Genomic DNA, 25,946 nt, shown 5'->3' with positions numbered 1-25,946 from the left:
TATTCAGCTTCTTAATATCAATTTTACCTCAAAACTGTTTACAAAAAAATAAAAAAGGAATGTTGGCATGTTTTGTTGGATTGAAGGAAAAAAATGGAGTAGTAAGATGGAAAGAAAGTAAAGTAGAAAGATGAAAAGAAGAAATATGGGAATAAGATTGAACAATAAAATCAGGGCCAGATTGTAATGGTGTAAATTTGCTTTGAAGAATATTTAAAATTCAAAAGTGATCCCTTTAAGAAGAAATTTTAATGGCTTGATATTAATAATATAGGTTTTAGTTTTCTTGACAAGAAAACTGATGAAGGTTTTGTGTTAACTCAAAAGGGCTACGTGTCCACAAAATTTATTTGCTAAACTGCAAACTGTCAAGGAGAGAGATGATATAGTGGGAAAAACTAGGAACTAGGGGCCTGAATTCTTTATCTTTAGATATCTTCAGATAATCCAAGCAGAAATCAATCTTTTAAAGAGGGAATTCTGGGAATGGTAGCTTACAGTAAATGAAAAATTTTAAATCTATATAAGAACCAACCCAAATTACAAAAATAGAAAAACATAAAATGAAAAGTGTTGAAATCAGGGCATAATGTCATACACACGACTGCAAACTTTGAGCAAGCCTGAGTGTGGTATGCACTTTAACCCAGCTTTATAATGACAGAAGCTACTAGTTCTGATAAAGAAATTGTGTGGTAAAGGAGAACAGATTTCTTCCATACCTTCCATACTGAACTGAAGACCAGGTCCAGGTAGAACGATAGGAAAATTAAGTAATTTTAACAAAGACTGTTTTAATAATTTAGCAAAACCAGTGCCATTGACAACCATGTGTAGATGGTTATGAGGTAGGTCATAACTCACTGAAACTTAGACACAAATAACTATGGTGACTAGATGTTTTTAATTGATAATTTCACCAGGTGTTTAATGTGTTCAATTCGTAATTAGAGCTGTCAAGCAACTTTCATGACAGGAAGATCACCAACTGAATGAGATGTTTCACTTTTCCAGTGTGGTGTAATGTCCAATCCATCCTCACGGTAGTCCTGGAACACAATCAAATCAGAGTCAAATGAGATGCTAAACCTTCTCCCAGAAGCAGTGGTAAAGTAAAGGGCATCTACCAAATGCTGAAGGTCTGAAAATACATGGATTTCAATTATGTCATAAAGTTCTCCTCATTGTTTAAACAAATTAGAGTTTCTACCAAAAAATGAGTACAAATTCCTCAACTGAAGATACTACTTCAGAACCTTAGGTTTCTGAGTGATTAAAACTAAAAAACTGATCTCATATACCTTCGTTGTGGGATAAATTGTCTACCCTGAAATTTACATGTTGAAGTCTTAACTTCCAGCACCACAGAATGTGACTGGGTAGACAAGGCCTTTAAAGAAGTAATAAAGGTTAAATGAGGTCATTAAGATGGACCGTAATGCAATATGACGGGTCTTACAAGAGATTAGAACACAGATCCACACAGAGGAAAGACCATGTGAAGACAAAGGGAAAACATAGCCACATAGAGGCCAAGGAGAGAGGCTTGAGAAGAAATCAACGCTGCCAATATCTTGATTGTGGACTTTTAGCCTTCCAGAACACTGAGAAAACAGCTTATTATTTAAGCTACCCCGTCTGTGGTTTGTTGTCATGGCAGTCCTAGCAAACCAGTCTACCCCTAATGCATACATTCTAAGAAAAAGTTACCAACTATATCTAGGAAAAGTTACAGAGGGACCAATTGATATTCTTTGTCCTGGGTTTAGGAAAATAGATATTGTGAATATGTTAACATGTAGGTTTGTATAAATGGAGGAAATGAAACAGAAGTTTCTGAAGAGATGAATGAAACTTGCTAAACATAATTGAAAAGCATACTTTATTTCAGATCAATTTATTCAGTAAACCAAATTAGGAGCAATTAACTAAAACTCTAATTTGTGTAGAAGTTAGAGAGCCCTTTATGAAATAAATAAGTCCATGAAGTTTCAAACTTTCAACATTCTGCAGATGCCCTTTACTTTGTTTAAATAGGAAAATTTAAACTATGATGAACTTTAATATTTTCCAACTTTGTAATATTTTTTGAATTTAGGGAAAGTTGGGTGTTACTAGGACATATTCTAATAATTTTCATTTTTAAGCTTTCTTCTCAAATGCCACCCACCTTAAATCCCCTTTTGAAATCCCATTCTCCTCTTTACTATCATGCTTAGCCCAATTAATTCTCCATTTCTTCCCCTTAAGTATCATCAAAGCAAAGCCACTTACTCAAATGACTTTTATTGCAGGTATGGGACAGCAGATGAAAACAACATGAAAAAAAAAAACCTTTAAATTACATATTAAACATCATTGTTCTAAAATTAGATGGCTATTACACATAAGGGTAAATTTCAGTTTACTTACATCTTTTGTTTCTAGGGTAACCTTTCCACTTGTGATAACTTTCTCCAGCAAGAAATGCCAGCTATTTTCCTTCCCTTTCAAAAACAAAAAGTTTATCTCTTATGTAGATGAATTATTTTTTTCTAATGTAAACTTCCATATGTGCTATGCACTGGGGCCTCATCTTTCATGTTCAGCCATCTGTTATGCCATTAAGTTACTTTACCTAAGACAAAATACCTCTTCCTAAGAGGAAGTTGTCTTTCCTTGTAAATCAACTGAATCAATCCATATGAAATTTTAATTTTCCTTTCTTGTCTCCTTTTATAAACATTGATTAATGACCAGGTACAACAACAACCTGAAATTAATAGGTCACTGATAGAGATTAAAAAATAGTGGCTCCTCTCACAAAACATCCTATACTAGAATATAAAATGCCCTAGTAGTAGTAAATAGCAGAAAATAGAACACCGATGGGATAAATGGCTTGTGGACACACATATGCATGTGACAACTACTGAAATTATAATTTATTAAAATCCTGTCTTATTTTTCTGTCTAGAAAGAGCAGCAGGCATAGATCTTCCATGGCAATGTGCTAGAGAGAAAAGCTGTCCCAGAGCTTCTTCCTGGAGCATTGTGCTGAACCTCTGTGGCCAGTGACTGCTGCTTTCTCTGAATCTTATTTAGGCCACTCTGTTTACCCAATAATTTATCAGCTTTTATTTAAGTTGTTCCCAATTAGGTATCTATATATGATATACATTATGCTCCATCAGGTCTGTTTCTTAACCATTAGAAAATAACTCATTTTTAATATACCAGATAGAAAAATTCTATGTCTATACTTATATCTGAGACATAAATGTGTATATGTAGATATAGATAATATCAATTATCTATCTAAATCTGTATATATAATTGATACTGTGAATTACCAATTATCTATCAAAATCCATATAGATAGATAATTGATACATATACACATACATATGTATGTATATATACTTACATATTATATATATACAATTAGATATATATATAATTTCCAGACCTGAGCCTTAATGGGAATTAGAAGTTGAGATTAGCTTCTGTCTTTCCATCTTATCTGGTTACAGAGGTATTTAGAGTGGAATAGTATAATAGATATTGGTATTTTGGGGACAAAACAAGATATGAAACTAGAATTTTAGATGATATATTGGCACAGTTTAAAACTAGATGTAAGAAACACATTTTATAAAAGGCAAAATATTCTAAAAAACATTTTCTAAAAGCCATATTAGTCATAGACAAAAACGAGCTACTCTGAAAGGTAGAGCGCTGGTCAAGTAGAGAGTCCAAGGAACACTCAAGAGACATACTTTAAAGGTGATTTATGTTAAAATTAGCTGAAGGAGATTTATTTTATGTATATATACATATATTTTATATATAATATTTATATATTTATATATAAACATGTATTATATATATTTATATGTTATATAATTACATATAATGTATTATATATTATAATTATATAATATATATATTAATGATATATAAGTATATAATTATAATATATAATATATAATAAGCATATATATATATTTAATATATATTACATTATATAATATGATTATATATAATATATATAACATAATATATTGTATATGTTATATATAATATATATTATAACATATAATTATATTATATAATATATAAATATATGTATATAATATATATTATATATCAGATTATATATAAATATAGGTATATACGTATTATGTATATCACGTGATATACATGTTATGTATATCACGTGATATACATGTTATGTATATCACGTGATATACATGTTATGTATATCACGTGATATACATGTTATGTATATCACGTGATATACATGTTATGTATATTACATGTATTATGTATACTACATAATATACAAATTATGTATATCACATGTATTATGTATACTACATAATATACATAATATGTATATTACATGTATTATGTATACTACATAATATGAATATGTATATTACATGTATTATGTATACTACATAATATACATATTATGTATATTACATATATTATGTATATTACATAATATACATAGTATATTACATATATTATGTATATTGCATAATATACATACGTATATTACATATGTATATTGCATAATATACATACGTATATTACATATGTATATTGCATAATATACATACGTATATTACATATGTATATTGCATAATATACATACGTATATTACATATGTATATTGCATAATATACATACGTATATTACATATGTATACTGCATAATATACATATGGTGTATACTGCATAATATACATATGATGTATACTGCATAATATACATATGATGTATACTGCATAATATACATATGATGTATACTGCATAATATACATATGATGTATACTGCATAATATACATATGATGTATATTGCATATATTATGTATATTACATATATTATGTATATTGCATAATATACATATTATGTATATTACGTAATATACATTATGTATATTATGTAATATACATTATGTTATTATGTTACATTACGTAACATACATTATGTTATATTACGTAATATACATAATGTATATTATGTAATATTAGGTAATATATACATATTATATACATTATGTAATATATACAATGTAATATATATGTAATATTATGTATACTATGTAATATATTTAATGTAATATATTATGTGATATATATTACATACATATATATTATATATTATATATGAGATATATAATATTCATATTATATATTATATATGAGATATATAATATTCATATTATATATTAAATAATATATTTAATATATTATAATATAATATAAAATATATTTATTATATTTAATTTTATATATTAAATATTTAAATTTATATATGAAATATTAAATAGATATATAAAGTATGTATATAATATGAATAATATATTTAATATATTATAATATAACTGTAATATCATATTAAATAATATATAATATAATAATATATAATATATAGTATTATATTAAATAATAGATATGATATATAATGTATAATATAATATTATATATAATATATTATTTATTATATGTATAATATATAATATATAATACATTGTATTATCTTTATTATATATTATATACATATTATATACATAATAATATATAATATAAAATATAATCATATAATATATAATATAAAATATAATTATATATAATATAATATATAATTATATATAAAATGCATAATATATATAATATATAATGTACAGGATATATTATATATCATATATATTATTTAATATAATATATTTATATTTTTATATAAATATATATCTATATAACATATTATATATAAAATATTTATAAATATATTTATATATTGTAAATACATATGTAAGATATACATATATTAATTTTAATATAATTTAATATATACTTAATATAATTTATTTCTTACAAATATAATATATGTAATATGTTAAATATATATTTATATAATATATAATAGATAAATATATATTTCTGTATTATGTATATATGATACACAATATATTAAATATATATTTATATAATATATATTTATATAATATATTAAATATATATTTATATAATATATATTTATATAATATATTAAATATATATAGGTTATATAAACATATAACATGTAAATATATATTTAATGTGTTATATATAATATATATAACACATTAAATATATATTTACATGTTATATGTTTATAATATACATATTAATATATAACATTAATATGTTATATATAATATATTAAATATATATTTATATAATATATATTTATATATGATATATTTATATGATATATATTTTTATATTATTTATGATATATATTTTTATATTATTTATGATACATATTTATACATATACAATTAGTTTTTAAGTGCATTTTTGGTTCTTAATCTTGCTATCAATAAAATCATACCCTTTCCTTTTTTTTCCAGCCAACAGAAATGCACTTTCAAAGTTTATGGATTTTTATAAATTTAACTTTTTTTCCGAATGCCAAACTACACCATACTGTGATTTGTTACTCACTATCTTCTCTGTATATACCCTGAAAATCTTTGATTTTGCCTACCGTAAAACTGCTCATATGATGACTATGGCAGCTATTTTCTTTTGCATCCAATAACTGAGAAAGTATAAAATAAACCACATATAATAACTTATTAATAACTATAAAATTGATTATTGAACATATTTAACACCTGGAGTACGTTTCTGTTTATATGTTTGCCAAATAGTTCAGCCTGATAAGAAAACTCAATTATTATTTAGATATTATCACTGGATACTTTCCACAATACTTTTATTCTATATTTTACTTTATTTACACAAGCAATTTTATTTTATTATGGATTAGGGCTCAGATTAGGCTAAGTGAAGAACTTACATTTGAATTATTTAAAAAAGAATAATTATAAAAACTGTCATAAACTATATACAAGGCTTAGAATGGAACTGTGCTCCCTTAGAAAATATTCGGTGTCTTCAGATACCATATTCAATATGTTCAAAACACCGGAATTATTTTATCTGGTGTATTTACTAATGAGGCATTGTCCAATGGTTAAAAAAGTGGACCTGAAGGAACATGATATAAAAATACTAAATGACTGAAAGGAGGCCAGGGGCTGTGTATGTTTGCCTCATATATTTGTCTGTATTAAAGGCAGGGCACAGTGGCTCACGCCTGTAATCCCAGCACTTTGGGAGGCCAAGGTGAGCAGATCACTTGAGGGCAGAGGTTTGAGACTAGCCTGACCAACATGGTGAAACCACATCTCTACTAAAACAAAACAAATACAAATTAGCTGGATGTGGTGATGCATACCTGTAATCCCAGCTACCAGAGAGGCTGAGGCAGGAGAATCACTTGAACCTGAAGGTGGAGGCTGTAGTAAGCCTGAGATCATGTCACTGAACTCCAGCCAGGGCAACAGAGCGAGACTCGATCAAAAAAAAAAAAAAAAAAAAAAAAAAAGAGAATGATCTAAGTATTAGCAAGTTATTACTTTGTGATTTGACAAAGATACATGTTGCAAAGAGAACTGGAATAATATCATTTTCAAAATTCCTTTCATATTTTTCCTGGACTCTCACTTTCTAAAGAGGCCAAACTTTGTATAAAAATTATGCAAATAGCTACAACACTTGCATATAAGTTTAGGATGTTTATGACCCTTAGACATACCTTTTTCTCTAGAGGCAAAATTTTCTGTTTATTTCATAAATAAACTTTAGAACACTTTATTGTATAAACCCACAGAGCAATGGTTTTGGATTTTGCCATCTCTTGCAAAGTTGAGCCCTTTTGGAATTGTATTAATGGTGCCTTATCCTCTTAGCCATCACTCCCTCCCCCATTTTTCAAAATCGGTTAGCTTCACTTGGACCCCATTTTTGTCACTCATGTGGTTTTATCAGGTTTCAAGTACCATTACAGAATGACTGTCACCTTTTCTATAGAAATAGCTTAAGTTCCTCAACCTAAAGTACCAAAATTCAGTAAGTTACTTAGCCATCAAAGCTATGTGACAATGTTTGATATAAAACATTTTTTATGAAACGTAAGTATTTCATGTCCCCTAGTACTTGAAAAACCTGTTTTAAAGTTACACTAAAAGTTAAACAAAATGAAGGGGGGTAAAAAATCTTCAAACAGCTTACAAATTCACAAAAGAAAAGAATGGAGAACAATGCACATTGTCCTTTTGGTGCAAAAATAATAAATGAAATAATAAAAACAAAGCCTTTTATTTGTATGTGCGTATATGCATGTATGTACTGTTTCAATGTTAACTGTGACTCTCTCAATGCATATATACCAAGGAAGTCCTTATCTTGGAGGGGTTAGAGAACATTAGTAATCATTAGCAGATAATCTTATATCTAGTTGTTATTTTTTGTAATGGTTTCTAGAATCAATATTCTTAGGCATACACTAGTATTCTTCCATTTTTCTTTGACTTCAGTGTTTTACATCCTGCTTCTTAGTCCCTTTTTATTATTACATAATGGTTGATCTAGGATTCTATGCATATTTTTAATTTCCATATTTGTTCAATACAGCACATTCCTGCAAATACAACTAATGTAAACTACTAAGCAATGTGCAATACTTACTGAGCAGACACAAAGGGTATAGAGAGTAGGAACAGTAGTAGGAGGAGAGGCTGATTGTGAGCAATTATGAATAGAACAACTGCCTTCTTAAATTCTGTAGTAGATCTTTAAACTAATAATATAATTTTATGTAATTTTAACATAACTATACATTTTTGCAAATAAAGATACATAGGATATGAAGAAACTGAACCTGTGGTGCTAAAGAAAAATTCTCCCAAATCCACAAACAATTACACTACATAACCACAGTCTAAACGTTGGTGTCATATGAGATTCATTCAGATTCAAATTCTGGTTTTGCACTCTCTGTGCAAATTTATTGTTACTTGACCTTTCTGTGCTTCAATTAAATGGAGATATATTAGGATTGTGAGGATTAAGTGATAATACGAGGAAAGCGTTTAGCAAATAGTAGTAAATAAATAGTAGTCATTTTTCCTGCTGCTGTTATTTTAACTTAAAAAAGATTTTGTGGATTAAGCATTTGTGAGATAACTTGAATATGATTATAATTATGCAATAATTTTGTATTTTGCCACTGCTTTTACAAGGATTTTCTTGATTATAAAGTAATTTGGTATAAAACTTTTCACTTGGTACATAATTAACTTGGTATATGACAACTTCTATGCACTTTTTCAGTAAATTCTTATTTGTTTAAAATTGATTGTATTGATTTCTCATGAAAATAAGTTTGAATCAATTAGTGATAATAAAATTATTGCATATTTTGATGCCATCAAAAATGATATGGGTTATTTTAAATTTTCTATTTTTGTTATATTGACATGTATATATATATATATACACATACATGTAAAATGTAATAAATTCAATGTGTACACATATATGTATGTGTGTATAATACATATATGTGTGTATATACACATATATGTATGTGTGTACACATATGTATGTTTGTATATATGTGATATATATAAATTGGTTATTATTACAAAGATAAAAGTGTTGGCAAAGATGTGGAGAAACATTGCATGTTCTCTCTCATTTGTTGTATCTAAAAATTAAAACAAACTATAGAGGTAGAGGGTAAAAGGATGGTTATCAGAGTCTGGAAAAGGTAGTGGGGAATTGAAGGAGAGATGAGAATCGTTAATGCACAAAAATTAGAAAAAAATGAATAAGACCTACTATTTGATAGCACATTGGAATGACTATAGTCAGTAATAACTGTACATTTAAAAATCACTATAAGAGTATATTTATATTGTTTTTAACACAAAGGATAAATCTTTGAAGGGGTAGTTACCCCATTCTCCATGATGTAATTATTAACATCTAGTCTCTGATAGTACCATTCCTGTAATCCAAGCACTTGGGGAGGCTGAGGCGGGTGGATTGCTTGAGCCCAGGAGTTGGAGACCAGTCTGGGCAACATGGCAAAACTCCATCTCTACAAAATACAAAAATTATCTGGATGTGGTGAAGAGCTCTTGTAGTCCCAGCTGCTGGGGAGGCTGAGGTGGTAGAATCACCTGAGCCTGGGGAGGTTGAGGCTGCAGTGAGCTGTGATCACACCATTGTACCTCAGCCTGGGCAACAGAGAGAGACACTGTGTCAAAAAATAAATTAGTCTATGAAATATATCTGGAAATGTAAAATGTAAGCTGAGAATGACTATTTTGAAGGAGTCAACAGTGTGATGTTCTAGGAGAATTGCATTCTATGGAGAAGGAACAAGTGTAAAGGCTTAATATTGTAAGGTTACATGTGGTAAAATATTTTTAAAAATCCAATGCAACAAGTGCATGGTAGACAAAAGGAATAGTGTTGTCACATGAGGGCAGGGAAATAGTCAGCACACAGATCATTAATGCATTATAAGCCAGAGCAAAAGAAAAGTTGATGGTAAGTGTGGCATCAGTACACTAGAAAGCTTTGACCAAGGGAGAAACATGATGGTTTCTATATGAAGAATGGGATATGGCGTTGTGGAGAGACATGAAGCAGGGGCTTCCCCTGCACTTAGAGGGCTTTGGAGTTTTCAAGTAAGAGATAATGGTTGATTGGACTTTTAGTGTACAGAAGTGGTAGAAATGTAATGAATTATACCAACTCGAGTATTTTGTAGGTAGACAGGATAGGACTTACTACTAGTAGGCAGGGTGAAGAAAAAAGAGTAATTAGGGATGACTCACTGATTTTGGATTAAGCTACAGATTGGATACCAACGTCATTTAATGGGTTTGGCAGAACTTGGGGAGAAAGAGGCATTGCTGGAGGGATGTCAACAGTTCTCTTTGGGATTTGTTAATTTTGAGATACCTGGAAGCTAGTCAACTAGGTGCTTAAGTAAGTATTTGGATATGGGAATATGGAACTGAGTAAATAAGTAAATACTAGATTTAAATATAAAATTCAACAGCATAAGAATGGTATGTAAAGCCATTTTTTTCATTTTTATTTTTTATTGGAATAACTGAGAAAACAACATAGATGTAAATGAAGAGGTACTGGAATAAAAGGACACTGCTATTAAATTTAACTACAAGAAAATTTAGTGATGGCGCACCTCAGTAGGATATTAAAGGTAGAAGCTCAATTTTTCTGTCATTTTACATTACATTTCAATCTAAAACCTGACTTTTGAATCCTATTGGTGAAAATAATTTTAAGGGCCTTTTTATAGAGGAAAAAGAGGATTTGAAATGATTTCCTAAATCTTCAGAGAGATGGTAACATTTCCAGAAAAGTTTAGCAATCTCAACACATAATTTTACTATATGCAGAGGAAGATGATGAGCAGGTTCCTAGAGGGAGTGGGAGGAGAACAAAGGGCCAGGATTTGACTCCCTCTGCCATTACAGCTGACCCAGGCTAACAACGTGTGATCACCTGGCAGATCAGGAGTTACAATAACCACTGACTCTTAGTAGTTGATGCAGGAGGGACAGGACCCAATGTTAAGTGTTAAAGAAAAACAATTATTCCTTACTGTTCCTTGGAAGGTAGCTCTTAGGAACATACAGACTAGGAGACCCTTCCTTTAATGTCCAAGAGAAGCTTTATGTTGCATCCAAAGTTTGTGTCAGGAAGAATAAAAAGAGAAAATCATTTAGCAAGTTCTGCAGCAACACTGAGTTTATTTAAGAAAATGTTAAATCAGAAATAAATGAATTGTCATTTAATTGAGAAGTTCAAGGATATTGCATTTTGCTTAATACTGCTTTTTATTTTTTCCTCAAATCAACAGGACTTATGGGTCACAACAGAGTTTAATACAGAGTTTTACTGTTTTAGAGACAGTAAGTTAATTGTTTCCACATCTAAATAAATATTATGTATATATTCTTACTCTGTTACACTCTGTTAAATTTTGGTTAATTTAGTTTTGTGAAGTATTTAGCCATTTATCAAGTAGCTCTTTCATATGCCTCATTTAAATTTGTTCTTGTTGGTAATAAACAATTTTGAGTTTCATCCTTCTTTCAATCAAAATAAATTGATTAATATTTTCTATTTTAAAACTTTGGATGCTTAATTGGTAATAATATCATCTATCATAAGCTAGTAACCTCTCCCTCATGACAGACTTCCTTAACCTTTCCACAGACACTTTTTAAAGCTTCATTTATTTCGTTGTCTCTCCATGTTCTTTGAATATTTCTTAACATGAGAAAGTCCAAACTTCATAAAATTCTAAAAGAAATTTACTCAGAAAATTACAGAGATAATATAAGAACAGTGTCAATTTGAACCTTTAGTTTGATGTTTATTATTTTAAATTTATTTAATTTGATCAGTAAAAGCATATTTATCGTGTACAATATGATGTTATGAAGCATGTATACATTGTGGAATCCTGAAATCTTGCTAATTGACATAAGCATCACCTCACATGGTTATCATTTATGCGATGAGAGCACAATGTTCATTCTCTTAGCATTGATTTTTCAAGAATACAATATATTGTCATTAACTATAGTCACCATGCTATAAAATAGATCTTTTGAACTTATTCCTCCTATCTAATTATAATTTGGTTCAATTATTATTAAATCTACTATGTACCCTCAAAAATGAAAAAGACAATAATTAATTCAATCTGGCTTAAAATAAAACAAAACTGGCCGGGCGCGGTGGCTCACGCCTGTAATCCCAGCACTTTGGGAGGCCGAGACGGGCGGATCACGAGGTCAGGAGATTGAGACCATCTTGGCTAACACGGTGAAACCCCGTCTCTACTAAAAATACAAAAAAATTCAGCTGGGCTTGGTGGCAGGCGCCTGTAGTCCAGCTACTTGGGAGGCTGAGGAAGGAGAATGGCGTGAACCCAGGAGGCGGAGCTTGCAGTGAGCCGAGATCGCGCCACTGCCCTCCAGCCTGGGCGACAGAGAGAGACTCCATCTCAAAAAATAAATAAATAAATAAATAAATAAGTAAACAAAACAAAACTGACTTACCAAGTGTGCTTCTTTTGGATTGGAAGTGGCACATCCAACAACCATAAACATGACTGTGGTTGTTTAAACTTCAGAAAGAAAGATGTAGGCTCATCGGGTGGTAATACATTTTTTTTCTTTTCTTTTACTTTTTTTTTCTTTTTGCCAAAGGAATGCTATATTTACTTGAAAGTAGGCTTTCTACAAGGTGTTTAACTTCATTTCATGGCTCCTATATTTTTTTGTATCTGTGGATGCAGCTTGAGATTATTTTAAATCTATAGATACAACATCTGTCTCCTTGGATTCTTTAAGCCTTCATTAAACTGTGTGTGTGTGTGTGTGTGTGTGTGTGTGTGTGTGTGTGTGTGTGTGTGTGTGTCCATAGATTTAGTGTCATTATCTTCAACATCCTTATCTGAATATTCTTCTTTAAATCTTTCTAGAGATCATTCATTGAATCCTTCATATCCCCGAATATAAGTATATGTATTCTTCAAGTCTTTCAATGGATCCCCCCTTAATTTTTCTTAACATCTTTCTTATATATTTTTATAAATCTCTGCTGAGTTCTCCTTTGTATCCTTCTTTACCACCTTTTAAAAATTATTTAATTCTTTGAGGCCTCTTGTTTTCTCACAAATTCAGCTGCAGACTACCACTATTGTTTCATCAAATATGCTTTTGAATTATTCTTTCGGTTCAAATTCTTATCCAAGGCCTACTTGCCCTTCTTCTTTGCATCCTTCTTTTCATCCTTCTTTGCATTCTTCTTTGCATCCTTCTTTGCATCCTTCTTAGCATTTTTCTTTGCATCCTTCTTTGAATCAGCAGATTCTTTCTCAGTATCTTTCTTGGCAACTTTCTTGGCATCTTTCGTGGCGTCCTTCTTAGACTCTTTCTTGACATCATCCTTTGAGTCACTGTCTGTACTACTGGGCTTCTTCTTATCTTTCTTACCTTTTTTAATCTCCTTTGCATCTTTCTTGGCATCCTTCGATTCATCACCTTTGTTTGCATCTTTTTTTCCATCCTCATCCTTCTTTTCATCTGCTTTTACAGCTTGTAATTCTATGGCTGAATCCTTGCCCTTCTTTGAATCCTTTTTACCTTTTTTGCTATCTTTCTCTGTACCTCCTTTTTCACCTTCAGATTCTGTTGCCGAGTCTTTGCCTTTGTTTGAATCCTTTTTATCTTTTTTGTTATCTTTCTTTGCACCTCCTTTTTCATCTTCAGATTCTGTTGCTGAGTCTTTGCCCTTCTCTGCATCCTTTTTACCTTTTTTGCTATCTTTCTTTGCATCTAGCTTTTCTTCTTTTCCTTTCTCTATATCCTTGCCTTTCTTTGAATCTTTTTTTCCTTGTTTTAATTCTGATTCCGAATCTGTTGTGTCCTTCTGTGTTGTCTTGTCTTCACCTTTCTTACCAATTTCTGGGGATAAATATTCAAATATTTCTTAAAATGGGAAAATCCAAACTTGATAAAATTCTAATAGAAATCTAATCAGAAAATTACAGAGATACTATAAAAACAGTAAGTTATCTCTACCTGCTGCTTTAGAATCCACCTCGACAGTACGAGTTGGTTTGAGAGGCTGCCTCCTGGCAGCTAAATAAACAGATGGTCTCTCAGAAATTCTCATTAAAGAACGGTACATCCATAATGGTTGTCTACGATCTCCTCTTAATTGTTCTTCATCAATTATCTGAAAGATGGTTACAATAATGATGAACAACTTGTGAGTGAATAACACAGTTTGTATTAATATATCCCAAATATATTTTAATTTCAACCATAAAAAGATTTTAGCTTTTGTTAAAAAATGGGGAAGTTTGAGATTTCATCCTTTATTTTGCTTTTTTATTGTCATCCTTTTTTTAAACTAGTGAATAATCATGCCTCATTTGGAGCTTACTTTCAGTTTATAGGATCTTCATAGCTCCCTCGGGATTTTAGGTTCAAATTGGTAGACTCATGGCATATCTTCACAATCATAGGAGGCTTTTTAAACTGTATGTTCTTGAGAATTCTTGGAATATCTTGCTCACCTTCTATTTCTAGGTAAATCAGAAACTATTCTCTAATATCTAATAGTTTCAGATTGAGGCATATCTTAGTCTATTTTCATTTTCAGAGTCTCTGGAATTTAGAATGCTACTCATGGTTAAAGATAAAAGCCTGAAACTCCTATTGCTTGGCAGATATAAATTGAGTATGATCAGATTGGTAACTGAAATAATGAAATCTACAACAGGGAATGTTAATTTGAGAGAAATTATGCATTTTGTTTTCAACTTCTAATTAAATATGTACAAAACTGAATGGCAAAAATAGCTAATCTCTGTACAAATATTAACAAAAATGGAAAAATAAATTCAGCAAGAAAAAAAGAACTTTGTTCACTACTAATGGGTTACATTTTTAAAAATAAACAAGTTAATGATACATTTATTTTGTGAAAACTTTTCTTTGAGCATATGCTTATCCCATGTTGACTCCAGAAATATTGCGAAATATTTATTTTCCAATACTCTGAGTCCTGAATTCTATATTACAGAACTGAGGAAGTATTAAAGGTATAGTGTAATCCCATGACTCAAATGAGGGATTTCTCCAGCTGTAGAACATTTCCTGAATGTTCACACTAACTCTAACATCAGGAACTCCATAATTTTGTGCTCCTTGGAAACAATTTTTACAATGTGTGGTTACTGAAAAAAATAGTTAATATGAAATAAAGGGGCAACTGTATACAGTAAAATGCAAATAAAACATATCTATTTTCTTTAAGTGGTAGACTTTGAATTATCTCTAACTGTGCTGTTCAGTAGGGCATTTCATAGCCACATGTGAATTTACTTTAATTCAATGTAATTTAAATGTAAAATTCAATTCCTTAGTTGCACTAGCCTCATTTCAAGTATTTAATAGCCTCATTGGACTACGGAGATAAATATTCCCATCATTGCAGAAACTTGTTGGTCAGCTTTGATCTATAACACATACAACTATACATGATTTCACAAGCTTACTACTTAGTGATTACTTAAGACTAATTATAATTACTTATTATGGTTATAATTATTACTAAGTTATTACTTATTACTGATAATTATAAAATCTTTCCAATGCTTACAGAAACCGTGTTGTCCCGTATTTGAGAAGGTTTTGATCTCCTTTTGGTTCCTGGCCGTTGTGGTTTGGGAAATAACAGGGCAAAGTGTTGCTGATTCCATGATTTTTTGCTTAATTCACTGACTAAAATAAGGGAGACAAAAAACACATTTTGGAGTGAATAGAATTCCATCAGAGCTGAAATGGCATTACGTGCAACGTATATCATGTAAATGAATAAACAAGTGATTCAAATTATGACTTCATTTATTTGGTAATGTTTGCAATTTTCTGTTATCAATATGAGAAAATAAAAATTGATTTTTCTATTTTGAGCAGTTTTACAGATGACTGTATAAAGTAGTCATTGCAAAACTAGCATAACTATAATATAAATGGAAAGACTCAGTTTTACTGCTTCCTTTTAAATCTATCTCTTCCAGTCTAGGTTTTTGCTTTATGCTTTTGGTTAGTATACAATTTTATTATAACAGAAAATAACTACTTCTGTAGCTCCCATAGTACTTAGCACAATGCCAGCATAAATATTCAGTAAATACATGATTTAATCTAAGTGCTAAGACTTAAGATCCCCTTAGTTAGTAACAACTTTCCAAGCTACAAGAGTAAATGCAGCCAGGCGCGGTGGCTCACGCCTGTAATCCCAGCACTTTGGGAAGCCGAGGTGGGCTGATCACGAGGTCAGGAGATCGAGACCATCCTGGCTAACACGGTGAAACCCCGTCTCTACTAAAAACCAGGTGTGGTGGCAGGCGCCTGTAGTCTCAGCTACTCAGGAGGCTGAGGCAGGAGAATGGTGTGAACCCAGGAGGCAGAGCTTGCAGTGAGCCCAGATCATGCCACTGCACTCCAGCTTGAGCGACAGAGCAAGACTCTGTCTCAAAAAAAAAAAAAAAAAAAAAAAAAAGGGGGCAAATGCTATACACCCAAGAATGGTATCGTTATAGGTGACATATTTTGTAAAGGAAAATGACAAAAAGCCTACAGAATGGTGACTGGGTAGGTGAAGTCATCTGAAAACTATAATACAAATGATTAAAGTTATTTAAGTTGCCAATGAGGCCAATGAGAGATTTCATCTTTGTATTTAGACACATGCAGCATTAATGTGTGGAAATAATAGACATTTCCTATGAGTTTTCTAAAGAAAATAGGAACAATGGGAAAAATGTACAGAAAAAAATTATATTTAGGCTCAGTATCTGAGGGGAAAATACTTGATATTTGAAGTTCTTCAAAATCAAATACCTTTGCCTTGTCTAGTAAAGAAATTTGGGGCCAATTATAAGCTGGTTATAATCTATCAGGAATGTTGTAGAAGAAATTCCTGACATAAACAAGAAGTTATTTATCCAATTTCTACATTGCTTTTCAACTGTAAGATTATCTGATTGTATGACTTCTAACATGTAACTATTTCCGGCTTTCATATACTGAGCATGTTTACTTAAACTTCCTTGGATTCAAAACAAAGCAAAACATATATTAAAGGTGTTCACTGGGCCTGTAAGAAAGGTTCCTTGGGAAATAGTTAATTATCAATTTTATTCCATGGCAATGTTTGCTTTATCACTTTGAATAGAGGATAATACTTACCATAAAATTAAGCACACCTGTTTTGTAATAAATATTGAATGCTTTCTTACCTGGAATGTAATTATCATATGGCCCAAAGTTTACTCTTTGGCTATTAAAACAAAAAAGAAAGGTTTTAGTTAATTTATATAAAAATCACTGTTTTAAACTGTCATTATTTTACTCCAGTACCTGCAACCAACAACTAGAGAAATATTTCACAATCTCAGATATCTTTTGTTATATAAGATTACTTCATCTCCAGGATAATAGAGATGAGCAAATGTGTTTTCAAATTACAACAGTACTAAATAATGGTCGATCAAACAAACTATATATACATACATGTATCACATATATGTGTGTATATTTTCAGATGTGCAATTTGTTTATATGTATTGTGTGTGTATAAGCAAATTGCACATCTGAAAATATACATTTAAAAAAATTACAAAAACACAGTTGAATTATTTTTCCCAGTTCATGCTCCAAATTCTCTCTTAATTGAATTTGAAACAAGGTATCACTTTGTAAACTCTACGCTTATGTAAAAGCATATCCTCAAAATAGTCTCAAAAAACTCCACCAAATCCAAATTATTAAATGGCCTATATGTGCACCTGTGAATTTGTGTGTGCATGTGTATATGTCAGTGTGGACCACAAAAATTCGTAAGGAATTTCATTACTTTTTAAAGAAAATCTGAAAAAGAAACTATATTGCAAATTGTTTTCCATTTGTAGGTTCCCATTTGTTTTATTACTATCTTAACATGTTTGTTCCCACGAAGGAGTGTTTTACGATCTAATTTTTATTTATTGGTGATGGAGACCAATCCTAAGATCTATTAGAGAAATATTATTTTACATTGTTTCATTATATTTTGGATATAGAGCCATCGTTGGTCATGAGTGAGTTTGAGGCTTTTGTGCTCATACACAAACACACACGTGGTGTTTATTTGACAGCGTGTAAAACTTAAGGTTTAAGCATAGAAAAGCAGTATCTTGATACCTTGACTAAAGAATGAAGCTAGCAGCATAAAACGTGGCACATTTTTTCGTGCTATAAAAATTTGTATTAGCTGAATAATATTTAATATGTTTTCACCAATAAGTTATCCAGCCTATCATTTTCTTAAACTGAGTACATGCACCAAAATTACTTGCCCCATCATATCTGAATCTCTAAATTCAGATCCAGTCAAAGTACATTTATATACTACAGAAGAAATGTTGATACCCAACAATGATTATGAACTGCATTATTCCAAATGCTCTCGAAGAGGAAAGATTTTAAGTTCATGAAACACTATTAAACTTGATATTTTCAAAATAGATTTTCAAAATAGAATGATCTGTTAATTTCTTCTATAATTGCTAGGACATATTATTTAATCACCCAGCAATTGAATTTGAAATCAATAATAAAATTATCTAGACAATATATAAATATTTGAAAATTAAACAGCTCCTTTTAAAGAACCAGTGGTCCAAAAGAGATCACAATGAAAACCTATTTAAAAAGAAGCAACTGAACAATAAGATAATTATGAAAATGATAGAATACTGCTTAAAAGTTCATAGAGAATAACTTACAGTTTTAATATTTTATATTATAAAAAATGTTTAAAATCAATGTTTTACATCTCTCCATTGAAACTAGGAAAACAATATAAGAAAAGAAGTAGAGGAGGAGTAAGTATGTTTCAACTCATTTTCAAGGCTAATATAAATAACCCAAATCCTTTTGAGGTCAATTCTAAAAATGCATATTACAGATGAATATCCCACATTATTATAGACACATAATTTCTTAAAATTTAAAAAATCATACTGACAAACATATAAAATTGCTAATACATCATGATCATCTGGTTTACTTTCCAGAATATGAGGTTGGTTTGACCTAAAATCAACCAATGCAATCATTCCAATTGACAAAATAAATAAGAAAAATCATCTGATCATTTCAGTATATGCAGAATAATTTTTGAAAGAAAGTAATATGCATTCGTAATTAAAAAGTCAGAGAAAACCAGCAATAGAGAACATAGCCCACAGATTGATAGAATACATCTAGATAATGCCTGTTTTTAAAATTAAACTTATTGGAGGAATATTGACTGTCTTTCCTTAAAAATCAGAAACAAGGCAAAGATAAACCTACTGTATCTATTCAGCATTTAAATCCAGATCCTATTTTGTTTCATAAAGCAATAAAAGCACTAAGATTGAAAAGGAAGAAGTAAAATTGTCTTTATTTGTAGAGGATACAGTTGGGTAAATATGATATCCAGTGACATCTATAATAATAACTGTTAAAGCTGCCAATCAAATGTAATAAGTTTATATGATACAGAGTTTAATGAATTATACTAGTTTAATGATTATATGATAAATAGTTTAAATGAAGTATATTTCTATATACCAGCAAAATTAGAAGATAAAAATTTAGGAAAATTAATTAAAACTTGAAATAACACAAAAGCAAATTATACAGAAACAAGTTATTAAAATACATATAAAAGCTGCATAAGTGAATTAAAACTTTTCCTCTAGGAAATAAAGAAAAGGAAGAAAACAAAAGTCCACAGAAAGACTTAGACAAAAATGTTCATAGCAATTTTATTCACAATAACCTCAAACTAAAAGCAACTCAAGTGTCCATCAACAAAGGAATGGATAAACTAAGTGTGCTATGTAAATGTAATGGAATACTTCTTAGCAATCGAAAGGAATAAATTACTTATATGTGCAATATAGAAACTTTAATGAATACAAAGGAATATTATATTGAAAGAAAAAGTCCAGAAATACTAGCACATACACAATATAATTTTATTGTATTCACTTCAAAAATAAGGAAGACTCTATAGGGTAACTGAACAGTCATTGGTTGGAGAAAAGCAAGTTGGATTGACTGGAATCTGTCATAATGTATCTTTTTTGTGTGATCAAAGTTTTCTATGTATTTCTTAGTGTTTATGAGATTAGAGTTAGTGACAGTTCAATACATTTTAACCTCTTGCATTTTTAGTAAGAATCATTTATAGGAACCCAAACAGCAATAAACCAAATACCCTTGCCCCTACTGACTATGCAAATGTGTGTGATAAGCAATTAAAGCAATTTGATCTTTTGGATTTGATAGCACTTTCCCACTCTTTAAGTCTGGCTTTGCTGGTGAGAGCATCTCTTTCCTTTCCTCTCTGGTACAGTCAAGTAATTATCTAGGTCAGGGTGCATTTGCATTCAATTTTTGACATTCTTATTAAAGAAACTTACAAACTGTCTTATTGAAAATAAACTTAGTATATCCCTTATTTTTATTTTGAGATATATTTATATGAATGTAAATGTATTTTCACAATTTTAAATTAAATCCATAAGATCTAATTTAATGACTTAACCTAAGAAGAGGGAAAAATGATTATTAAGTCAAAAGGTTGTTGTTGTTTTTTAATAGGACTAATGCTTAAATTAAATTAAAGTGTCTGGTTATATATAAGGAAACACAGTAATTAAGGCCTCATATTTACCAAGATTAAATGGCATGTAGAAGCTAAAATTCCACCTTCACTTCAAGCTTATATATTCAGTCACTTCAAAATCATTTTCAGTAACTGTGCATGTTCTGAGGTAAAGGTTTCCCATTGTCAACAATGTAGAATATAATGTATTTGAAACTTTGAAAAGAAAACTAGGATTAAGTTTTCTGAAATAAAAAGTAGAGAAGCAAGAGACATGGGGGACTTTATTTCTTAAGAGAAAAATCTATTTCTATTCTATCACCATAAAAAATTTTTTTCAGGGGTAAACCTTTAACCAAGTTTGTTTTTCTGATTATTTTTCCTTTTAGTCTGGGTTATATTTTAATCTAAATACAAAATCCACCCATCTTTCCTCTTGCCTGTAACTGTATCTCTGCTTAGATGTGTTTTAAAAATATATAGTGGATTCAAAGTCAAAGGATTTAAATGATATATCTTCCCAAGTTACATGTGAGTTGTTCATAGACCTCCTGATTGTATGCATATTGCCAGATATCTTGCTAGTAGACTAGATTTTTGGAATCTGCATCAGCTGCAGGGAAAAGAAGACCATAAAAGACATGGTAGAAAGTTTTCTAGGAACTGACTGCAGCCTGAGCTTCTCTTCTTGTATTTGCTAGAGGAGTCTCTGTGTAAAGGCAAGGTCAACTGCCCCAGGATTACTGTCTTGCTGAGGAATGGCTCTGTGTGTAGTAAGATTCTCTGTCTTTCTCTAGCATTTTCTGAAGCAGTGTTTCTTAGCATGGATTTATTTCGAACTCCTCACCCAGAGAATATTTTGCAATGTCTGAAGACATTTTCCTTGTCACAATTGTCTATGTGTATGTGCGTGTGATGATACTAGCATCTAGTTGGTAGAGACCAGGGATACTGTTAAAAATATTATAATGCATCTTACAATGGACAGAATGCTGGATCTCCCCTACCCCCAGCACCTACTAATCCTCTATTCCAACAAAAAGTTTTCTAGACTACGATGTGAGTGGTGCCAGGATTTATAAAACCTTGTCTACATCAAGGTGAATCCCTAGACCAGGATAGTAAGAGACGACTTTAGTAATGCTACTCAATAGAGAGAAAAACATAAAATATACATTAGATACGAGATTGGGAAGCTAATATTGGAATTTTAAATGTTCATATATTTAGATACCCTATCTCACACCAAATTTTTGTGATAACCTCTCCTACCTGTTTCAGAAATCTTAGTTCTATTCAACATTATAAATGGGCTGAGTTGACTAACACAACCTAAATTTGAGGCCAAGGCCAGAAGTGATGAAACTATTAAATGGTATAGTTGAGGTTTGGATAGAGCAAAGGTATTAGAGAAGGAATAAGTGGGAAAGGAAAAACTGAGTTCAAACAGAAAAATTTTCTTTATCACATACAAGTTGATAGCCATAGGCACAGAAATGTTAAGTCCAAAACTAAGGCTCTGCCATCCTTAGAAGAATTCAGTGAAAAGACAAATGGAGTCGAAAATTAATTTTCTGCATCTTAAATTTTGCGTGTTCAATGAATTGGGAGCTGTCACTTGAACTCAAAGAAATATGCTAATTTGTTATTAAGAATTTTTATGTATGCTTTTCTGGCTAATGGTGAGGCCATTTGATTATGATTTCTATCAGTTTCCTCCTACAAAAACCAGAATGTTTTGGGATTACACTAGAATAACACCATAAAAAATAGCCATAAGACCAAAAAGAGGTTTCTAACCATTGTGGTCAAGTTCTCTGAAAGCTATTTGATGCTCATGATAACAATAATACCATCGATATTTTACAGTGCTTATATATTTGAAAGTAATTAAAATACAGTGTAATTCTGCCATGTTAGGTGCCAGAACATAGATTTTTGCATAGTAGGCATCAATTTACTCAGCTTCTAAAGTAATCATGACAAATGCATTTAAACCTTTACCAAAAATTATACTTTAATGATTGTTTTATAACAAAATGGGCACCAGTATCTATGGAAAGCCTATTTTATTTTTAATATTCATGTTTTATCTTTCCTTTAACAATACTGCTAAATTAAGGCCCACCCATACTTTATATTACAAAACTCCATTCCTTCACCTTTGTTGCATGTCCTCTGTAAAAGGGTTTACAGAATTGAAACGTGCTCTTTACCTACCTTATTTTGACACAGAATAAATTAAGCATAAGTAAACTACTGTCATATAACTTCTCATGTCTGGATTATATGCTTTACATTACAAAGTACTTCCACATACTCAATATTTTGCAAGAGGGATACCACTAGTATTCAGTTGGTCACATTTGGATAGAGCTGCCCCACTTTTTACTAAAGGTTAACACTGCGATATAATGCCTCCTCTAAAATTCAGTCACACTCCTCAGTCACTATTACATACACAAAAAATATTCACAGAAATTTCCAAGGTGGTTCCCTGACTGAAAATCATGAATTATTTTATTTTATATTACTCAAAATGCAATGTGATAAAAAAATCAAGTAAGACTAGCAGTAAAAAAACAAACAAAAAAGACTTATCCAAAGCCAGGTATCTATTTTACTGAAATGCATGCACTAGCTATGTCTTAAATCAAAAAAATCTATTATGTTGCTTGAGAATCTTTGTCTGCTTAAACACATTATCTTTTGCTTATGAATGGCATCATAATAATATAATAAATATCTCTTCATACTAAAGAAGTTAAATGTAAAGCTAACGAGTATTTCAGTTATTTTAAAACATAAAATTTGACTTACAATCTTGGGAGAGACATTTTCCCCACTTATGACTTGCCAGGACTTAAGTATTGTAAGTTCAAACTGGTGATGTTGAAAGGTGACATCATAAAGAAGCCAAGAGCACTTGGAATTAAAGGGGTAAAACAAAAGGAGTCACTTGTGTTTTTATGTTCTCTAAAATTCTAAGATTAATATTTACTTTCACTTATTACTGACTAAATCTAGCTAGGAGTTTTAAAAGTAATCAATTGATTTTACACTTTAATAAAATATTTGTTTTATTTTTTTCATGTAATTGTAATTTATTGACTGATATGGAAAAAAGGTAAGTCTAAACATTTATCTGTGAGGATCAGCTGTAATCCTAAATTCCCTTTCATTCCTGTAACTTTTGTTAAATCAATGCATAACTTTACATGTCTTTCTCTCATCTTAAACGTATTGTTTTCTCATACATAGAATATTTTAAACAAAGCTATATGCTTTTTAAACTTATAAATATATGAGTTAGTACATTTTTATTAAACTCATAATCTTACCCCACTAATAAATGAATACTAGTACTATATAGAGAGGCATTTAAACATGTTGCTCTTATTTAGCTCTTTTTAAAATATCTTAGCTATTTTTTGTCTTAAGAAATAATTTTATTAAATATAAGCTTCTATAAGGGGTAAACTACAGAAATATTAGTAGTTTGACTCAAAGTTTCTAGCTGATCTTACACAATGATAAATTATAGAGGCATTGGAGCTGGGATGGGAGCCTTTCCATAATTTAGATTTCTGTGATCTGATTACTTCACTATCTGACTTAATGAGAATATCTACTGAAGTTTTCCTGAAAAGTGATAGTTTAATAAGTAAAGTATAATGTCTAATTCTATAATATTTTGTTGAGCATTTTATAGTCTATAGTGGCTTTTGAAAATATTAATCTCTAATGCATTGACTCTATCATCATACATTAAAATCTAAATAATGACTGGGCAACAGGCAATACTTGCCTTCTGCATTATCATCTCTTTAATTAATCTCTTATTGTCATTCTTAATTAAATGTGTATGATCTAGTAATATCTTAGCCAATGATATTTTTATAATGAGCATGTGTCAGTCTTCTATTGCTACATAGCAAATTATTACAAATTGAAGACATAAAACAATACTCAATTTTTATCTCATAATTTTATAATTCAAAAGCTTAGGCAGGTTTAACTAGGTCCTCTGCTTAGGGTCTCACAAGACTGAAATCAAATTGTCAGCTGAACTGTGTCTTACCTGGAGACTCAAAGAAAGAATCAGTGCCTAAGCACATTTCAGCTGGTGGAATTTAAGTCCTTGTGGCAGTAATTCTGATATCTCTGTTTTCTTCCTTGCTGTCAGCTATGAGCTGCTTTCTGTGCTTAGAAACTGCCTAAGTTCCTTCTCAAATACATCCCCCTACATCTTCAAACCTGAAATATTTCATGGAGTCCTCATAGTTAAATCAGTCTTATCTTTTTTCAGCCTTCCTAACCACTATCAGTTGAGGAAAACCTTTGTTTCCTAAAGGGCTCAAATGCTTAGATTCAAGCAACCTAGATAATGTATTTAACTTAAGGATCAATTGTACTTCATAATGTAGCATATAATGGGAATGCTATCTCCTGTTATTCACAAATTCTGCCCACACTCTGAAGTTGTTGGGAGCCTTAAAATTTTGCCTACAACATATCAAATATTAAGACTAAAAGTCTACTATAGAATATGAGGATTAATAGAAATATATCAAAATATACTAGCCATATATTTATATATATCAGCCATATAAATATATATATAATATCTTTAGATATTGCTAATGTCTATCCAGCATCAGCACTATAACCATATATTAATGTTTTTGTGGTTGTTTTTAAGCTTAGAAATCATGTCTTCAAACATAAATATTCTACTTTATAAATGTGTATATATACACATTTTTAGTGTTTTAAAGATTATACAGTTA

General features: G+C 30.3%; 1 protein-coding gene across 1 annotated transcript; it reads right to left on the bottom strand.

Annotated features, from left to right (window-relative positions):
* Positions 1-885: 885 nt before the first annotated feature.
* On the bottom strand, positions 886-24,041 carry CYLC2 (cylicin 2). Its single transcript, NM_001340.5, has 8 exons — positions 23,977-24,041; positions 17,756-17,796; positions 16,111-16,232; positions 14,523-14,679; positions 12,996-14,405; positions 7,277-7,392; positions 2,413-2,486; positions 886-1,049 (listed from the first exon to the last, which is right to left on the bottom strand). The coding sequence occupies exons 1-5, from the start codon at positions 23,991-23,993 to the stop codon at positions 13,696-13,698; spliced, it is 1,047 nt and encodes a 348-aa protein (NP_001331.1). The 5' UTR covers positions 23,994-24,041; the 3' UTR covers positions 886-1,049; positions 2,413-2,486; positions 7,277-7,392; positions 12,996-13,695.
* Positions 24,042-25,946: the final 1,905 nt, after the last annotated feature.

The sequence above is a fragment of the Homo sapiens genome, chromosome 9 (genome assembly GCF_000001405.40).
Source record: "Homo sapiens chromosome 9, GRCh38.p14 Primary Assembly".
In the NCBI taxonomy this organism is placed as follows: Eukaryota; Metazoa; Chordata; class Mammalia; order Primates; family Hominidae; genus Homo; species Homo sapiens.
This window is presented reverse-complemented; position numbering and strand designations above follow the sequence as displayed.

Coding starts and splice junctions, on each gene's coding strand:
- CYLC2 (NM_001340.5), bottom strand. Junction 16,233..17,755: donor ATATGATAATTACATTCCAG/GTAAGAAAGCAT, acceptor CCCTTATTTTAG/TCAGTGAATTAAGCAAAAAA. Junction 14,406..14,522: donor GGTGGATTCTAAAGCAGCAG/GTAGAGATAACT, acceptor ATTTATCCCCAG/AAATTGGTAAGAAAGGTGAA.